We start from the raw sequence: 16,986 nt of genomic DNA, 5'->3' as shown, positions 1-16,986 counted from the left end.
TTGAGGCAACCTATGATGAGAGGCACATAGAAAGCAAACATAAAAGTGGAAGATCAAAAGCCAGATGCCCTCCAGAAGAGTATGATTTAGCAAATGTGTAATAAGGCCCGGGTGTCTCATTTATTTTTATTTATTTTTAATATTTTTGTGTTTAGAGCCAGGGTCTTGCTCTGTTGTCAGGCTGGAGTTCAGTGGCACCATCATAGCTCACTGCAGTCTCTTGTTCCTAAGCTGAAATGATCCTCCCACCTCAGCCTGCTGAGTAGCTGGGACTACAGGCACATGCCACCATGCCCAGCTAATTAAAACAATTTTGGGGGGCAGGGTAGAGATGGGATCTCACTGTGTTGCCCTGGCTGGTCTTCAACTCCTGGCCTCAAGTGATCCTCCTGTCTCAGCCTCACAAAGTGCTGGCATTATAGGTGTGAGCCACTGCATCTGGCTGTGCCTGAATTTTTAACCAGCTCCCCAAATGATTCTGATATGCCCCCAAGTTTGAGAATCCATGGTGCAAAGGAAGAAGGAGGAAATACACCCAACATCTAGGTCATCATAGTTGTTGTCATTTGGTACCAAGATAACAAAAAGGAAATAAGATAGATGACATCATTTTCATTATCTGAAATGAGGTAGACAAACATCTTTCTGGTAATTTCTGAAAGAAAGCCAACATGTGAGTCCTACTGTAAAGGACACTACACACATGCTGAATAATTTGGGGTCAGGAGAGATGCTTTGCCTCTCTAAAGGGGTCTTGTGCTGGTTGCCTCACAGCTGTGGCCCACCCTGGGGGCACCAGGCACGCTCTGCAGCAGGACCTGCTCACCCTCCAATGCCATGCCTTCCTTTAGTCAGCTAACAGGAGGGACATTGCCCGGAGCAAGAGTGCAGTGACTTTGAGGAAAGGACCAGGTCAGGGGGACAAGGGATGGCAGTGGGTCCCCTGGGTCGTGCAGTAAGTTTGAAGGTATACCCTGCATGGAGTGACCAACAATGTGACCAGCAATGGCAAGAGTCACTGAGGCACAGAATTGCTCCCTTCAGAGTAGCCCTAAGACACAGCAGTTGGGTGATTGAAGTAACAGGCAGGCGAAGTGAAGGGAAAAAACTTGTTACCACCTTCTGATGCTGAGAAAGACCTATAGCTTCTTTAGACAATAAACCCATAACCACTCTGGCCTATAAGAAAATCAGTTAGGGAAAATCTTTTCAACATATTTGACAAAAGGTTAAATATCACAAATACATAAAGAGCTTTTACAAGTAATAAGAAAAAGGAATAGCCGGGTGTGGTGGTGGGCGCCTATAGTCCTAGCCACTTGGGAGGCTGAGGCTGCAATGAGCTATGATTGTGCCACTGTATTCCAGCCTGGGTTACAGAGTGAGACCCTGTCTCAAAAAGAAAACAACAACAACAACAACCAGGGATGTATGCAGAGATTTATACATGTGTGTATTTATAACAGTATCATAATATTAAAAATTGAAAATGATATAAATGTCCAAAATTGAGAATTTGCTTTAAAAACCATGGTTTACCTGTATAATATGATATTATACAGCCATTTAAAATTAGATATTAAAATAATTTTTAATTATATGAGGAGATGTTAATGATCTATTGTTAAGGGGAGAATTTTTAAAAAGCAGGCTTCAAAATAGTATCTACAGTACCATCTCACTTACATTAAAAAATGAAAAAAACAGGCCAGGCACAGTGGCTCACGCCTGTAATCCTAGCACTTTGGGAGGCTGAGGTGGGCGGATCACCTGAGATCAGGAGTTCGAAACCAGCCTGGCCAATGTGGTGAAACCTGGTCTCTACTAAAAATACAAAAATTAGCCAGGCATGGTGGCGGATGCCTGTAATCCCAGCTACTCAGGAGGCTGAGGCAGGAGAATCGCTTGAACCCGGGAGGCGGAGGTTGCAGTGAGCCGAGATGGAGCCATTGCACTCCAGCCTGGGCGACAGAGGGAGACTACGTCTCAAAAAAAAAAAAAAAAAAAAAGTAAAAAAGATTTCAGTATGTGCTGAAAAACATCTGAGGGGCAGACACCAAGATGATAACGATGGTTATCTTAGAAAGGTGGGACTAAGGAACATTTTTTAGCTTCCTTTTTGTGCGTTTCCTTCCTTCCTTCCTTCCTTCCTTCCTTCCTTCCTTCCTTCCTTCCTTCCTTCCTTTTCTTTTAACATTCTTCTTTTTCTAATCAAAAACAATCAAGAATGTTTTATTTGTAAGTGAGTCTGCCAATGAAGGGTTCCTGCTGCACTGGGGGCCAGCCAAGGATGACAAGGCCCTTTATCACACTTCCCGGTTCTTCAGCTTAGGTCATCATTTCTACAAACACTGGCTGAATACCTGTTTTGTGCCGGGTGCTGAGGTGGGCCCTGTGAGAGTTATGAAGATAACACCTCTTACTCTCCAGGCTCTTACAGGCTGGCTTATAGTTGAGTGCCAAGATGAATGCCCAGGTCATTTCTTATAGAAATACTTTTGTGGTGTTTGGAGAGTTCAGCATTTTCCTGGCCATGAAGATAGTCCCTGAGATCTGCTCTCCTTGCCTGAAGCCCTGGTCCTCCTTTGTCTTTGAAAATTTAGTTGGCTGACACGTGACAGATCAATGTCAGTAGCCTGGACCCATGGCTGGGCCCTGTGCGGTAGGAAACCCAGAAACCACCGTGTGTGTCTGTGGAATGTTTCATATGTATCAATATGAAACATATGATACCTGTGATACAGTATGTCACACACTGACCTGCATCAGAGACTCTAACAGGGATTGGCATGAGGACCTGAAAGAGATATCTTGGTCCAATCCTTCATTTTTGGATGAGAAAACTGAGGCCCCAAGGGAAAAGGAAGCTTGGAAGTTGGTGGTAGAGCCAGGACCCCTAACCCTGTACTTTGCCCGTGATATGTAGTCTTCCCCATTCACAGCCCTGCATGTCTGGGAGAGGCAAGCAATCTTGGGCATTTTCAAGTCATGGTGAAGAAATAAACATGGGATTAAAAATTCACAAACATTTTGAGAAACAGAGACCATCCATCCTAGATGGCTAAGAGCTGACTATATCAGTGAAAAACAAGATTCTTACATCAAGAATCTCTCAGGCCTTAAGATCCTGGTGGACAGAAAAAAATTGGGCAAGAAATAACTGGTTATGATTTGTACACCATCCATATTCACATACACAGACACACATAGCCCTCTGCAGAGCCACCTGTTTAATGTGAATCTTGGGAAAGTAAAAAGACCTTTCTATCTCCAAGTCATCTTACCACTTTGCCCCATGTGTGCCTAAACTTGCCACTATTCAAGCCCCTTCTTGGTCACAAATAGTGTTAAACTGTGAAGGTGTTTCTTTGGAGGGAGGTCAGGATAACCCTTAGGGATCCTTTGTCACCTTACATGAATTATGGGAAAGATCACAGGGGGTTGTGGGCCAGGAAGAGGTGGAAAGTTCACAGGAGGCGGGCTGGATGCAGGAGAGGGGAGGGCAAGTGGGGAGGGAGGTATTCTAGAACATGAATGGTTCACTTTACCATTTTATGAGGGGTAATCCTGTACCCCCACAGTAACAGGAGAGCCTCAAACCATCCTGGATTTTCCCATCTTCTTTCTGCAGTCTTTTTCCTGCGTGGCAGCACAAGCTCGTTTTTAAGGTATTATCCTTTGGTTCTGTCTCCTGGGCTTTGCCCAGGCTATGGGCCTGGCTGGCATTTCTAGGAGGGAGCAAACTGACCTGCTCTGTTGAAGTTCTTTTGTTAAACATACATCTGACTGTCAGGAACTCAGATGGTGGGAAGGGTGCCTGACCCAACTGAGCCCGACTGGTCCCTTGACTGCTTGTTCTCTCCTTCCCTGTGCTCCCACAAGGAGGAAAGGAAAGGGCAGGTTCAGCTTCCTGATGTATTTCCTTGAGAAAGTGGCCACAACCTGATAGGGAGGGAGTGAAGGTGAGAGGTTATTTGGGGCCTCCACAGAATGAAGTGCTTGTGTATCACTCCCTGCCTCTCCAGCTGTTGCAGATAGTTCTTTCATGCCCAGGCTATATTTCCTTTTCATCTGCGTTTGTCTAATCTCTGCAATAGACTATATAAGCCTTTCAAGTTGTGAGGTGTGTCTTGTTTACAGCACTTAGGACAATGATCAGTAAATGAGAGACAGATGGATAGGTGAGTGGACAGTTAGGAGGATGCATGGGTGGATGGTTGGGTGAGTACATGGGCAGGTGGGTGGGTGGTGGGTGGTACCTTCCAAGCCCAGCATTTCCTCAGTAACCTACATCATGTTTAGTGTCTAGAATCTAGACTCTAGACTAAGGGAAATATCAGAGGATACTGAGCTATATTTTCAGTGAAAATCTTTCTTTACGTAGCCAAGTCAAACTTTAATTGAGCCTAACTTATTTCAGGTCCTAGACTTGCAGGCTTGAGCTCATTTGACAACAGCATCAAAATGTACTTAAGTTAAAAAATAGTTGTCATACTTTAGCCCAGCTTGGCCCTGCTAAGTGATTCCTTCCTTTTTGTGCTTTAGTTTTTCTGACTCCCTGTACCCCGCAACAACAACAAAAAAATGTCTAGAGGAAGGAAGTTAGTCTGTAGGACCTGGGAATGAAACAAGCCAGCCTCTAAAAGCAGCTGCTGCAGGCCCATACAGAACAGCCACCTGTGACTTTGTGGACAGGGGCCATTTATAGGTCAGGAGTCAGTTCCCTGGAGACTCTGGCTCCTGGTACTTAGCCTACATGTGCTCCTCACCGCTGACCCTGAGTTCGGCTTGGTTGGAGTGACTTCCTAAAAGACTAGATAATAATACTGAGAAGCATCTGCATGTTCTGTTTTTCATTTTCATTTATGATTTGAAACTTCTTTGGGATCATCTAGAGCATGCTATGCTTCCATGCTATAGAGCAGTACTTCTCAAACTGTGTTCCCTGGAGCTTTTGGGGTTCCCTGAAGCCCCTTTAGGCCTCATGGGTGGGGGCGGTCAGTGGGTGGGCTCTGGATGCCTCTCCAAAAGAAGCACAGCTTTTCATCTGTTTTACATATTGGACTTCGGTGAAAGATTTGAGAGAGGGTTCCACACCTCAAATTTCAAAGCCATCGTCAAGGAACTAGAAAGACAGTAGCAACAAGGTCAGGGAGGGGAAACAGGCTCATGAAACGAGGGGCCTGGGTCATTAGCTGGGAGAAGAGTCATATTAGGCAGCCCTGTGCCCTCTTCTGTTTGCAGGTTCTTGGCTGGCATTCTGTTGTTCCAGACTCTCCACCTGCTGCTGACTTTGCTGCTGCTCCCTGCGTGTTTCTCACTCCTGTCATGCCCATCTAGTTCCCAGCGCACTGCCCACCTGGCTTTGGTAAACTTTTCCTCCTTACCCTTGTCTCTCTGGCCTAAAACCCTGACCTGTTTCCTGCTCTGACCTCAGATAACGTTATATTTCTTCACTCTGTTTTGGTTTCCTGAATATCTGGTCCCTTGCTTGCTCTGACCTTGGGGAATGTGTCCCCAAGTGTTTTCTGCGTCTTGTTCATGGGATTTGGAGTGGCCTGGCTGGAAGATGGATGTGTTGGGAAAGGGTGGGAAATAAGGACAGGGTCAGCCACAGAGGCTCCACAGTGGAGCCTGGCCAGGCAGAGGAGTAGGGAGGGGGCTCAGTGACACCATCCCCAGGCAGGCTGTGGCTGTGGGATGTGGGTGTGGGTCCTCCGGGATCAGGCTGACCTGGTTCTTGTGGACTACAGCTTTGAGCTGCTCCTGCCTTTGAGACACATTGGCTGAAGGTCCTTGGCTGGAAGTTCCTAAGCATTATCCCTGCCCTATGGCCCTGAAACCTCGCAGGGTAATTCCAGAGGAATCACGGCTCATTGTTCTCCAGAGTGGAAAGAGGAACTGCGGTGTCTGCGGTGGGGAAGCAGGAGGAGGAAGCCAGTCTCCGCGACCCTCTGCTTTGGAACACTTCCCATTTGGTACCTCTCACCTCTGGTGGCATCTTGTCCCTTGGCTGGGGCCCTGCGTTCTATGCAGCTCTACCTCATTTCCACCTTGATAGACTGGTGACTTAGGGGTACATCACTCAATCTTTGGACACTTTAGAGTCGACTAAGAGAGGGAATGAGGTAGACCCACTCAATCCATGGACCTTTCTTTTTCTTTTTCTAGATGGAGTCTTGCTCTGTCACCCAGGCTGGAGTGCAGCGGTGCGATCTCAGCTCACTGCAACCTCCACCTCCCAGGTTCAAACAATTATTGTGCTTCACCCTTCGAGTAGTTGGGACTACAGGTGTGCACCACCATGCCCAGCTAATTTTTGTATTTTTAGGAGAGATGGGGTTTTGTCCTGTTGGCCCAGGCTGGTCTCAAACTCTTGACCTCAGGTGATCCTCCCGCCTCCCAGAGTGCTGGGATTACAACAACCACACCCAGCCCATAGATCTTTCAAAGCCTTTAGCAGCTTGGCCCTGGTAGTTGACAGAACAAGTCTGGTTGGCTGTGGCTTACCACAGAGGGTGAGGGTGGGTGGCAGTGCGAGTGGTCTACCTTGATGCAGGCCGTAAGGGGTATATTGCCTTTTGAGAATTTAAAACCAATAATAGGCCTGACGCAGTGGCTCATGTCTGTAATCCCAGCACTTTGGGAGGCCTAGGCGGGCAGATCACTGGAGACCAGGAGTTCAAGACCAGCCTGGCCAACATGGTGAAACCTCATCTTTACTAAAAATACAAAAATTAGCCAGGTATAATGGTGCGCACCTGTAATCCCAGCTACTTGGGAGACTGAGGCAGGAGAATTGCTTGAATTCAGGAGGTGGAGGTTGCAGTGAGCTGAGATTGCACCACTGTACTCCAGCCTGGGCAACAGAGCGAGACTATGTATGTGCGTGTGTATGTATGTGTGTGTGTATGTATGTATGTGTGTGTATGTATGTATAAATAAATCAAACAAACCGATAATAAAATCGAGTAAAAATCAGTCTGCTTTTTACTATCACCACATGCCAGCAATTCAAAACAATGTCGAATACTGTTCTCTTCTGGGATGGGCCCCTCTCCTCACTACTTGGTACACACTACTGGTCAGTTACCTCGAGAGCCTCATTGTAGCCGGAGTCAGTGACGTGGATCTGTGTCCTAGCCCTGTTCCCTGGCCCAATTGCCAGTCACTTTACTTCTCTAAGCCCAGTTTTCTCTCTCTCTTTTTTATTGGCTTTTTTTTAGAGACGGAGTCTTGCTTGTCGCCCAGGCTGAAGTGCAGTGGTATGAAGTGCAGTGGTATGATCATAGCTCACTGTAGCCTCAAACTCCTGGGCTGAAAACCATCCTCCCACCTCAGCATCCTGAGTAGCTGGGACTGCAGGTTGTGCCACCTTGCCTGGCTTTTTTTTTTTTTTTTTTTTTTGGAGACAAAGTCTCACCCTGTCACCCAGGCTGCAGTGCAGCAGTGCAGTGGCATGATCTCGGCTCACTGGTACCTCTGCCTCCTGAGTTCAAGTGATTTTCATACCTCAGCCTCCCAAGTAGCTGGGATTACAGGCTTGCACCACCATGCCTGGCTAATTTTTGTATTTTTAGTAGAGACAGGGTTTCACCATATTGGCTAGGCTGGTCTCATACTCCAGGCCTCAAGTGATCCCCCTGCCTCAGCCTCCCAAAGCACTGGGATGACAGGTGTGAGCCACCATACCTCTCCAGTTTTCTTATCTGTGAAATGGAACTAAAAATGATACTTGCAAATATTGAAAAAGAGAATGAATATGAAGTTAGCTCATTAAGAAAAAAGCTGGCCGGGCGCGGTGGCTCATGCCTGTAATCCCAGCACTTTGGGAGGCTGAGGCAGGCAGATCACTTGAGGTCAGGAGTTCAAGACCAGCCTGGCCAACATGGTGAAATCCCGTCTCTACTAAAAATAGAAAAAAATTAGCCATCCATGGTCGCGGTGCCTGTAATCCAAGCTACTCAGGAGGCTGAGGCAGGAGAATCACTTAAACCCAGGAGGTGGAGCTTGCAGTGAGCCGAGATTGCGCCACCGTACTCCATCCTGGGCAACAGAGCGAGACTCCAGCTCAAAAAAAAAAAAAAAGGAAAAGCTGGATGTAAATGTTGTAATGTTCACATTGCTATACAAAATTGATCCCGTGGTGTGACATTTGGTTCATGCCCTGTTTATTTACCCTTGACAGTGAAGACTTTGGGGGGTGGGGATTAAGCCAGGCTCCTCCATGAACCTTAAGAGCTGAGGTTGGGGACATTTCTGAGCACTGAGAAGCTGTTCTAGGTATACCCCTTTTAATGTGAGTCCTGGGCAGACAACTAGAGAGCCCTTATGAGGTGGCACCTGGGGGCCTGACAAGTTTGGAAATGAGGCCCATCTGCCAGTGACACTGATCTTGACACAGCCCACTTGTCCTCCCAGGTGCTGAGTGAGTGAGGAGCTGAGTCCTCTGCCTGGGAAGAGGGGTGTGTTCCTGACAGAATTGCAGGAGAGTGTGCTGGCAGAAGCGGGGTGTTTTCTGTATCTTGAGGATTTACTGTCCCTCACGAAACCATCCTACGTGACTTTTGCAAGCCAGTCTCAGGCACAGAGTTCCCACCCACCCACACCTCATGCTCTTCTGCAAGGCTGGATGGTAAAGTCCTATCTCAGACATTACCTCATGATTTCCCAAACAACCCTGGGAAGTGGGCAGGGCAGGTATTATCATCCCCATGTGACAAAGAAGGAAACTGAGGCCTGGGGAGTTGAACAGGCTGCCCAGGGTCCTGGCTCGTTAGTGGTAGGGCTCTGACTAGACTCCCAGTCTCCTGACACCAGCCCAGAGTTAGGAATTTGGAGAGTGAAGAGAAAGGGCTTCATTCCTGTTTAGAGTTGTCCCAGGCTCTTTGGAGCTGTCTGACAGGAAGCTTTCTAAGATGAGACCTGGGATGGCAGATGGAGAAACATGAACTGAAAAGGCAGCTCCCTGTCAAGCCCATGAAACTTTGATAGCAGATTAGGACGAGGAATCGGGCCTCCTACCAGCCCCGTGCTGCAGTAGACCATGCATAGGTATTGATTGTTGCTATGGGGGGCAGAGATACTGGAATATGTGTGCTTTGCATATGTATACCAGATTCCAGTATTCCCATCATTTTTGATTTAGTGTTAGCAATGACTTTCATTAGAGGTTGAATTGCTCCCTTCTGCTCCCTCCCTGGATGACATTCTGGGTGGCTCTGTCCTAAAGTAGACAGACCCTCGCCTCCCACCCATCATCCCTGTAGCCTAGCTGGCGACTTCTGCACTGTGGGACCTCAACTTCTGGCTGCAGAGCCTTCTGTGTGCAGAAAAAGGCCTGTTGCTGTCACCTGCCCTTGGGTTGGCTGGGCCCTCTGATGGGCATACTAGAGCCACCTCAGGTTCTGCTTTTGTGCATCTGCTGAGTACAGTGGCCAGGGAGTGCCTGACTGCAAATTTTCACTCCTGTTATCCTCCGAAAGCTAGAGTAATCTTCTGCCTTGATTTGCATATTCATAACACAGCAGTTAGACTGGTGAACCCCTCAAGCAAAAATCATGCTGATGGGAGAGACAACCCCTCCCCTCTGATTCCCTTTCTTTACTCCTTTCCTGAAATGATCAGATCAGAGAACTATGGGGAAGTGTAATACTGAAAATGAGGAACTAGTATGAGTAACAGTGGTATAGTTTCTTCATTTGTGAAATGGAGATAATCAGAAAGCTGTTGTAAGTCAGCCCTGGCTGCATGTCAGTTACCCAGCGGGCTTTTAAATAGCCCCATCTTCAGGCCCAGACCCAGGAGATCAGAATCTCTCAGGGTGAGACTTAAACACTAGGAGTTTTAAAATTCCCCAGGCAATATCAATGTGTGGCCTGGGTTGAGAACCACTGCTCTAGGATTTAAAGAGTTGGCTACTTGCTCGGAATAGAGCTATTTTCACATCTGGCTGTGCGTGGGAATCATTGGCGGGGTAGGGTGGTGCTTTTAAAATTAAACTGAAGCTGGGTGGTGTGGCAGGCACCTGTGGTCCCAGCTACTCGGGAGGCTGAGGTTGGGAGGATTGCTTGAGCCCAGGAGTTTGAGGCTGCAGTGAGTTATGATCACACCACTGCCCTCCAGCCGGGGCAGCAGAGCCAGACCCCATCTCTAAAAATAAATAAAATTAAACCAATTCCTTGGTTTCACATTCCAGACCATTTGAATCAGTGACTTATGTCTCTGGATGTCTCTTGCTCAGCCTTCACATGAACCACTTTTGAGTACCACGGGCCAACATTACAAATATTTCCAGTCTTCACAATTCTCTAGCAGGGAACCCTGATTCCCATTTGACAGATGAGCAAATCTATGTTCAGAGCAGGTGAAAGCATAAGTCTCTGAGGCCAGGCCTGTCTGATCTTGAAGCCTGGGGGCTGGGTCTGGTGGAGGGTGTTCTCTGCTCTTCTGGAAACAGCCCAAGGAGTGGGGGACACCAGCCAGCAGCCTTGGCTCCCTCTGAGGCTCCCCTCTACAGGTTGAGCAGAGGGCTGTGCCTGAGTGAAGACAGGTGAGACGAGTGGTGGTGTGTGGTATTTGGCGCCATCGTAGTCACCCACTCTCAAAATACCTCCTTTTGGGGAGGGAAAGATGCCTGTGCAGTGGGCCTGCCCCGGTCACCACTCATTGCCACAGCTGTCTCGCAAAGAGAAAACTCAGGCAGGAAAAGCAAACACTCATTTGCTTTTTGAGAGTTTGAGGAATTTTTCAGGCATGTGATATAGAAAAAAAATGCCACTGTTTCCCTCATAAGAGGAAGGGGAAACAACGTCAACATGGCCTGAAATGTTTAGCTCTAGTTTACAAAAGCCCTTCTGCCGTTTCACAAGTCCTAAGGCTGTCAACACAGTGCAGGGCTGGGAGCTGGGGGATTTGGATGCCAAGCCAAGCCCTGCGCCACTGCCTATGTGCTCTGTAAACCTAAGTGTATCCCTTACCACCCTTAAGCTTTGCTTTCCCCACAGGTCAAGTAGGAACTCAGGGCTTCTGTGACAAGGTCACAGGGACTCTGAAATGCCAGGCCCTGCCAGCGGCTGCTTGAGGTGTCGGAGAGGAGAGGCGTGTGGCTGCCTTGACACTGAGACTCAGAGCCACCCGGGCCTGGAAGCTCGGTCAAGTGTTTGTTGGCACCTACCAAGGCACCCGCTGTCCTCGAGGCCCAGAGTGGCTCCAAGAGACCATATGTGTTAGAGTTCACACTGAATGTGTTCACTCTGGCTCTGGGAGGCCTGGCTCCACTCCACCTGCGTCAGCCCTTAGTGTGTGCACAGCTCAGAGCCAATATTTGGAACTGAAATAGCTAAAAATTTAGAGTCAGTGGACGATGTAAGATAAATTTGGCTCCACAAAGCCTTCTCTGCCCAGTCCAGCCCCCAGGATCTTCTCTTTCCCTAGAGCTCCATCTGTACCTGTTGTCTGTGCCTTTGGTCCCTGCCCCGTAGTGCCTAGCACAGATCCTGGCACAGACTGGATGCCCAGACAGTGTTGATTGAATGGAGATTAAGGCAATGGAGAGATGCATGAGTTTGTGTTTGGGAACGTCTCTGAAGTGGCTGCCATAGAATGCTACCTAAGTGTTGGCCTATGTATCTGTTGCTTGCTGAACTTGACTTTGTTGTTGTTATTGCCACTCCGGGTATTTTGAAGACTGTCTCACTGAGGATGATGCTAATGATGGAGTGGTTCAGATGCAGTGCTATTTTGCTATTTTCTGCATTTGGGGCAAATATCCCAGGCATTTCCCTGTATGTAGCTTTTAACCCAGAGCCACTAAGAGTGTACCTCTTAAGTCTGGAGTCTGCTGGCCCCTTATTGAGCCATTAAGCTGAACCAGAAAACTTTCTGAGTTACTCAAGCAGTGGGTATTTTGGGTGGCAAGAAAACATGGGGCAATGATGGCAAATGGCAGTAAGGGGACGGGAGGACCCCCGGGCAAGATGGTCACTGGGAAGTCTCTGAGGACTTAGATCTGCTCCTGCTGGTCACTGAACTGAGGTGCAGAAGCAGGTGGTTGGTGCCCTTCCCTGTGGGGAGGGCCCCTGGAGCACTCAGGGAAGCTGGCTCAGGGCTGCCTGCCACTCTGCCATGGACTCCATTTCATGCTTGCTGTCTCTGTCCCTGGAGTAATGGGTTTCTGAGCCCAGCCCTGGGTACTAGTGCCTGAAGGGGAATAATAATGGTCTAGACTGCTCTAACTATCTCAGAGGCTTTGTGGACAGCCGGTTGGGTATCTGACTTTGAGGCTTGGCTTTGCCATTAACTCTGCGATGACCTCAGGCGAGTCACATGACCTATCCTTATGCCTCAGTTTCCTAATTGTACAACTCTCTGTTTATACCAAGTCCTCTGACTGTGATGCTCCCCCACTATGATGATTAACCTTGTTAGGCTGCCTCCTCTCCAAACTCTACCCAAACCTGGATCCCCACCAGCCCAGTCTGCTTATGGACATTGTGATTTCATCTGGTGGGTCCTAGACTTGGGTTCTAGCTGAGATTTTGCAATGACAAGGCTATGTCATCCTGATCAATAACCTTTCTGGGCCTCAGTGCTCACCTCTGTACACTGGGACTAAGAATACTAACATTCATTCCTCATAGAAGGAATGGACAGAAGGGAAGCCCAGTCCCTGCCCCATCTCATCCACAGGTTGTCATCAGGTGGGGATGCAGACTGGTGGCATGATTTGTCCTGTCCTGGCAGAATCACTCTGAATTTGTGTGACCTGGTAGCTGACAGTGGGGTCATTTCCCCAATGACCACAGTGATGACCTAATCTTGTGGGTCTGTGTCCCCACAGTGGCCAGTTTGCCATCGTGAAGAAGTGCCGGGAGAAGAGCACGGGGCTTGAGTATGCAGCCAAGTTCATCAAGAAGCGGCAGAGCCGGGCGAGCCGGCGCGGTGTGAGCCGGGAGGAGATCGAGCGGGAGGTGAGCATCCTGCGGCAGGTGCTGCACCACAATGTCATCACGCTGCACGACGTCTATGAGAACCGCACCGACGTGGTGCTCATCCTTGAGCTGTGAGTGGGGTCCCCAGGACCCACAGGGTTGGGGGGCAGCAGGGGCAGGCAGAGCAGTGGAAACTCCAGCCACAGGCCCCAGGGGGCAGCAGCAACCAGGCCTAAGCTCAGCCCAGAGGAGGTGAAGTCAGTGGTGGGCAGATCCCCTCTGTCTCAGTTACCCCCTTCCTCCTTACCCGCTTCCTCCTCCTGAAACTGAGCCAAAGGAGGGGCAAGCTTGCTGAATAGCAGGGGCAGAGGGCAATGGCCTAAGTCTGGCTTTCACTGGATCCTGGAGATCAAAGGGAAGAAATGACTGCACTGGGGTCTTTTCCTGGCTGGAGAAGCATGTGGGAGGGTGAGTGGGACAGATGGTGGGGTGGGGCCAGGGGAGGCTGTCAGCGAGGGCTGTGTACTATGAGGAGGGGAAGTACAAACATCTCTGGGCTCTGCGAAGCCCTTCTCCAGCCCTTTCCTGGGGAAAGTCCACTGCATTTGTGCTGTGAATGACACCTTTATTGTTATAATAATAGCTATTATTTAGAGAGTCCTACTGTAAGCCAAGAATTTGCTAGGCGCTTTCTATCTGTCGTCTTGTTCAATCTTTAAAGACTGTGATGAGGGAAATGTCTTACTAGTGCAGACAGGTTATTTTGTATTCATTGTGCAAGCCAAGTACTTCTGTACCTTATTTAATCCTCATAACAACGCTGTCACACAGACACTCTTATTATCCCCATTTTACAGACAAGAACACTGAGAGGCCAGGACACTTACAGGAGCCTATAGCCAGGAAGTGGCAGGACCAGGACTTGAGTCCACACGGCCTGTGCAGACAGCTATGAGTGTGAGGCGGGTTGGCCTTATGCTGGCTTAGCAGAGGAAGACCTCACAGTTCATGATGGAATTTGGATAGATGACCTCAATACTCTAGGGTTTGGCTAGCCACGCTGGTATCGTCCTGGGCAGGTGGGGCTCTGATAAACAATAGAGTTTGAGTTGGGTTGTGGACAAGTTACAGTGGCTGTGTCCAGTCAAGCAGCAAGGACTATATAAAGAATGTTCTGGCCTGGTGCAGTGGCTCATGCCTGTAATCCTAGCACTTTGGGAGGCCAAGGCGGGCAGATCACAAGGTCGGAGTTTGAGACCAGCCTGGCTAACATGGTGAAACCCCATCTCTACTGAAAATACAAAAATTAGCCGGGTGTGGTGGCAGGTGTCTGTAATCCCAGCTACTCGGGAGGCTGAAGCAGTAGAATTGCTTGAACCCGGGAGGCGGAGGTTGCAGTAAGCCGAGATTGCATCACTGCACTCCAGCCTGGGTGACAGCAAGACTCCATCTCGGAAAAAAAAAAAAAAAAAAAAAGAATATTCTGAGGCTCATAAGCATGTATACACCTGCCTGGTAGCGGGAGTGATAGAATCTCTCAGGAATCCCTGATTTTGTGCCCTTGGGCAAGTCACCTCAATTCCCTGAGCTTTAGTTCTCATCTGTAAAGCAGGCAGCCATCCTTAACCTGCCTACAGACTCGGTGGACCACCTGACATTTGAGATCATTCTAATTTGAGAACTATGCTCTGGTATTGGCAGGATATAGATTTAAGTAGCAGATGGACATTTGCATACTCTTGCATTTGATTCTTAAATTATCCATCTCGGTGTTTAAATGTATAGAATTGCCTGTGCTCTTCCCTTCGCTAGCTCCCAGTGTCCTCCATGTTTCTCCCACGGGCCTCCCAGCTGGTTGGACTACTGGATGCCTGCCCTGCGTGACCCAGAGAGAAGCTGAGGGTCAGCAGTCGGCATCCTGATTCCCAGCAGAGAGTGACAAGTGCACCTTTCTGGAAAGGCCGAGCCACTTCTTAAAAAGTTTATTATGGGGAGGAAAAAAAAAAAACTAAGCAGGAATGGACAAGAAATTACATTTATAATCCTACAACCCAAACACAGCTATTTATGTTTTTCTGTGGTTCCTCTCAATCTTTATCTATTTGTATACAATCATTGTACTTGTATAATTTCCTGCTCTACTTTTTTCCCCAATTAACATAATTCTAAAAATTGGCTTTTCTCTTTTAACTGACTATATGTTTCACTGAATTGCATACCAGTATTTCCCTTGTCTTAGTCCATTTTCTATTGCTTATAATAGAATATCTGAAACTGGTTAATTTATAAGGAAAAGGTATTTATTTCTTACAGTTATGGAGGCTGAGGAGTCCAAGGTTGAGGGGCCACATTTGATTAGGACCTTCTTGCTAATGGGGACTCTCTACAGAGTCCCCCAAGGCAGCCCAGTGCATCACACGGTGAGGGGGCAGAGTGGGATATCTCAGGTCTCACTTCTTATATAGCTACCAGTCCCACCCATGTAACCTGTTAATCCACTAATGCATGAATGGATTAATCCATTCATAAGGACAGAGCCCTCATAACCCAATCACCTCTTTTTTTTTTTTTTTTGAGATGGAGTCTCGCTCTGTCGTCTAGGCTAGAGTGCAATGACGCGATCCTGGCTCACTACAATCTCCACCTCCTGGGTTCAAGCTATTCTCCTACCTCAGCCTCCCAAGTAGCTGGAATTACAGGCACCCACCACCACACCCAGCTAATTTTTGTATTTTTAGTAGAGATGGGGTTTCTCCATGTTGGCCAGGCTGGTCTCGAACTCCTGACCTTAGATGATCCGCCTGCCTTGGCCTCCCAAAGCGTTGGGATTACAGGCGTGAGCCACCGCACCCCGACCCAATCACGTCTTAAAGGTCCCACTGCCTAATACGGCCGCATTGGGAATTAAATTTCAATGCGAGTTTGTAGGGCACAAATAGTCAAACCATAGCATCCTTATTGTTGGACACATGCTTTTTATTTCCTAGCTTTTAACCATTACAAATTTTACTGATAAAACAACTTTCTTCTCATGATTTTCTCCTTTTCTTTTTAATTAATTCTTTCAGCAAAGTCCTGAGGATTTAGCTAACATCCCCAGGAATGGGATGACTAAGCCAAAGGCTGACATTTTTGGGACTCAATATCCTCACTTTTCAAAGATGGTGCTGGTTAACCATTACTACCACAACGTAGGAGTGTTGCTGTGTGCCTGCAGCCCTGCCAGCCCTGGGTCATTTGTTTTGAAACGTGTTTCATTATTTATTGATCTTTATAGCTATAAATTGATACTTTCTTACTATAATTGGCATGCCTTTAATTGCTGGGGAAATTGCCTGCTTCTTCCTGTTTGTAGAACCCTAGGAGTCGGTGGCGGGGATGTGGCAGGTAAATGCTCTTGAGATGTCTGTGTTTTTCCCAACAGGGCTCATGGTCAGCCAGTTATGTGCCGGCTTCTTGTGAGCTCAGGTGCACCATCTGTAACATCAGTTGTCACGCTGGTGCTCCCATGACTTGCTTGGGCCTCTGTGCTTATTAAGTTCTGTCCCGTTTCTGTCTCCCCCTTCACTTCCAAGCTGTCTCATTGTTCTCAGGGTGCCTGTCTATGGACTGCTAAGAATTTATGAGATTGGAGAAGACCCAAGCGTTCCAAGACTGTCCCTAACCCATGTATGGCCAGGTTCTGAGAGGGAGGACCTCCCAGGAGAGGAGTTCCTGGGCTTTTGTTTTTGTTTGTTTGTTTGTTTTTTGAGATGGAGTCTTGCTCTGTCACCCAGGCTGGAGTGCAGTGGCGTGATCTCGGCTCACTGCAATCTCTACCTCCCGGGTTCCAGTGATCCTGTGCCTTAGCCTCCTGTGTAGCTGGGACTACCAGTATGTGCCCCCATGCCTGGCTAATTTTTTTTGTATTTTTAGTAGAGGTGGGGTTTCACTCTGTTGGCCAGACTGGTCTTGAACTCCTGGCCTCCAGTGATCCACTCGCCTTGGCCTCCCAAAGTGCTAGGATTACAGGCATGAGCCACCGCACCCAGCCTCATGGGCTTTTGTTGCTTAG

At 48.1% G+C, this 16,986-nt stretch overlaps 1 protein-coding gene across 24 annotated transcripts in view, besides 1 other annotated feature; it reads left to right on the top strand.

Annotated features, from left to right (window-relative positions):
* Positions 1 to 16,986, top strand: part of DAPK2 (death associated protein kinase 2) — a 139,450-nt gene that overhangs the window by 49,890 nt on the left and 72,574 nt on the right. For 17 of the 24 annotated variants that reach the window (NR_169524.1, NR_169522.1, NM_001385000.1 and 14 more), the window contains exon 3: positions 12,842 to 13,063. Coding sequence is in view for 11 of the 24 variants with exons in the window: in NM_001384999.1 (NP_001371928.1) it covers positions 12,842 to 13,063 (222 nt within the window). In the remaining 13 variants the exon portion in view is untranslated. Of the gene's footprint in view, positions 1 to 5,244; positions 5,369 to 12,841; positions 13,064 to 16,986 lie in introns of all 24 variants that reach the window. The other 7 variants (NR_169523.1, NM_001395283.1, NM_001395292.1 and 4 more) reach the window with 3 other exon arrangements.
* Positions 10,655 to 11,156: an enhancer, noted in NCBI's record as "H3K27ac hESC enhancer chr15:64277639-64278140 (GRCh37/hg19 assembly coordinates)". NCBI's record gives its function as "activates a minimal SCP1, AML or CMV promoter by ChIP-STARR-seq in naive H9 embryonic stem cells {active_cell/tissue: H9 hESC(naive)}" and the evidence as "EXISTENCE:reporter gene assay evidence [ECO:0000049][PMID:30033119]".

Source organism: Homo sapiens, chromosome 15 (genome assembly GCF_000001405.40).
Source record: "Homo sapiens chromosome 15, GRCh38.p14 Primary Assembly".
NCBI classification, from domain to species: Eukaryota; Metazoa; Chordata; class Mammalia; order Primates; family Hominidae; genus Homo; species Homo sapiens.
The sequence above is the reverse complement of the archived record's forward strand: the minus strand, read 5'-3'. Positions and strand labels throughout refer to the sequence as shown.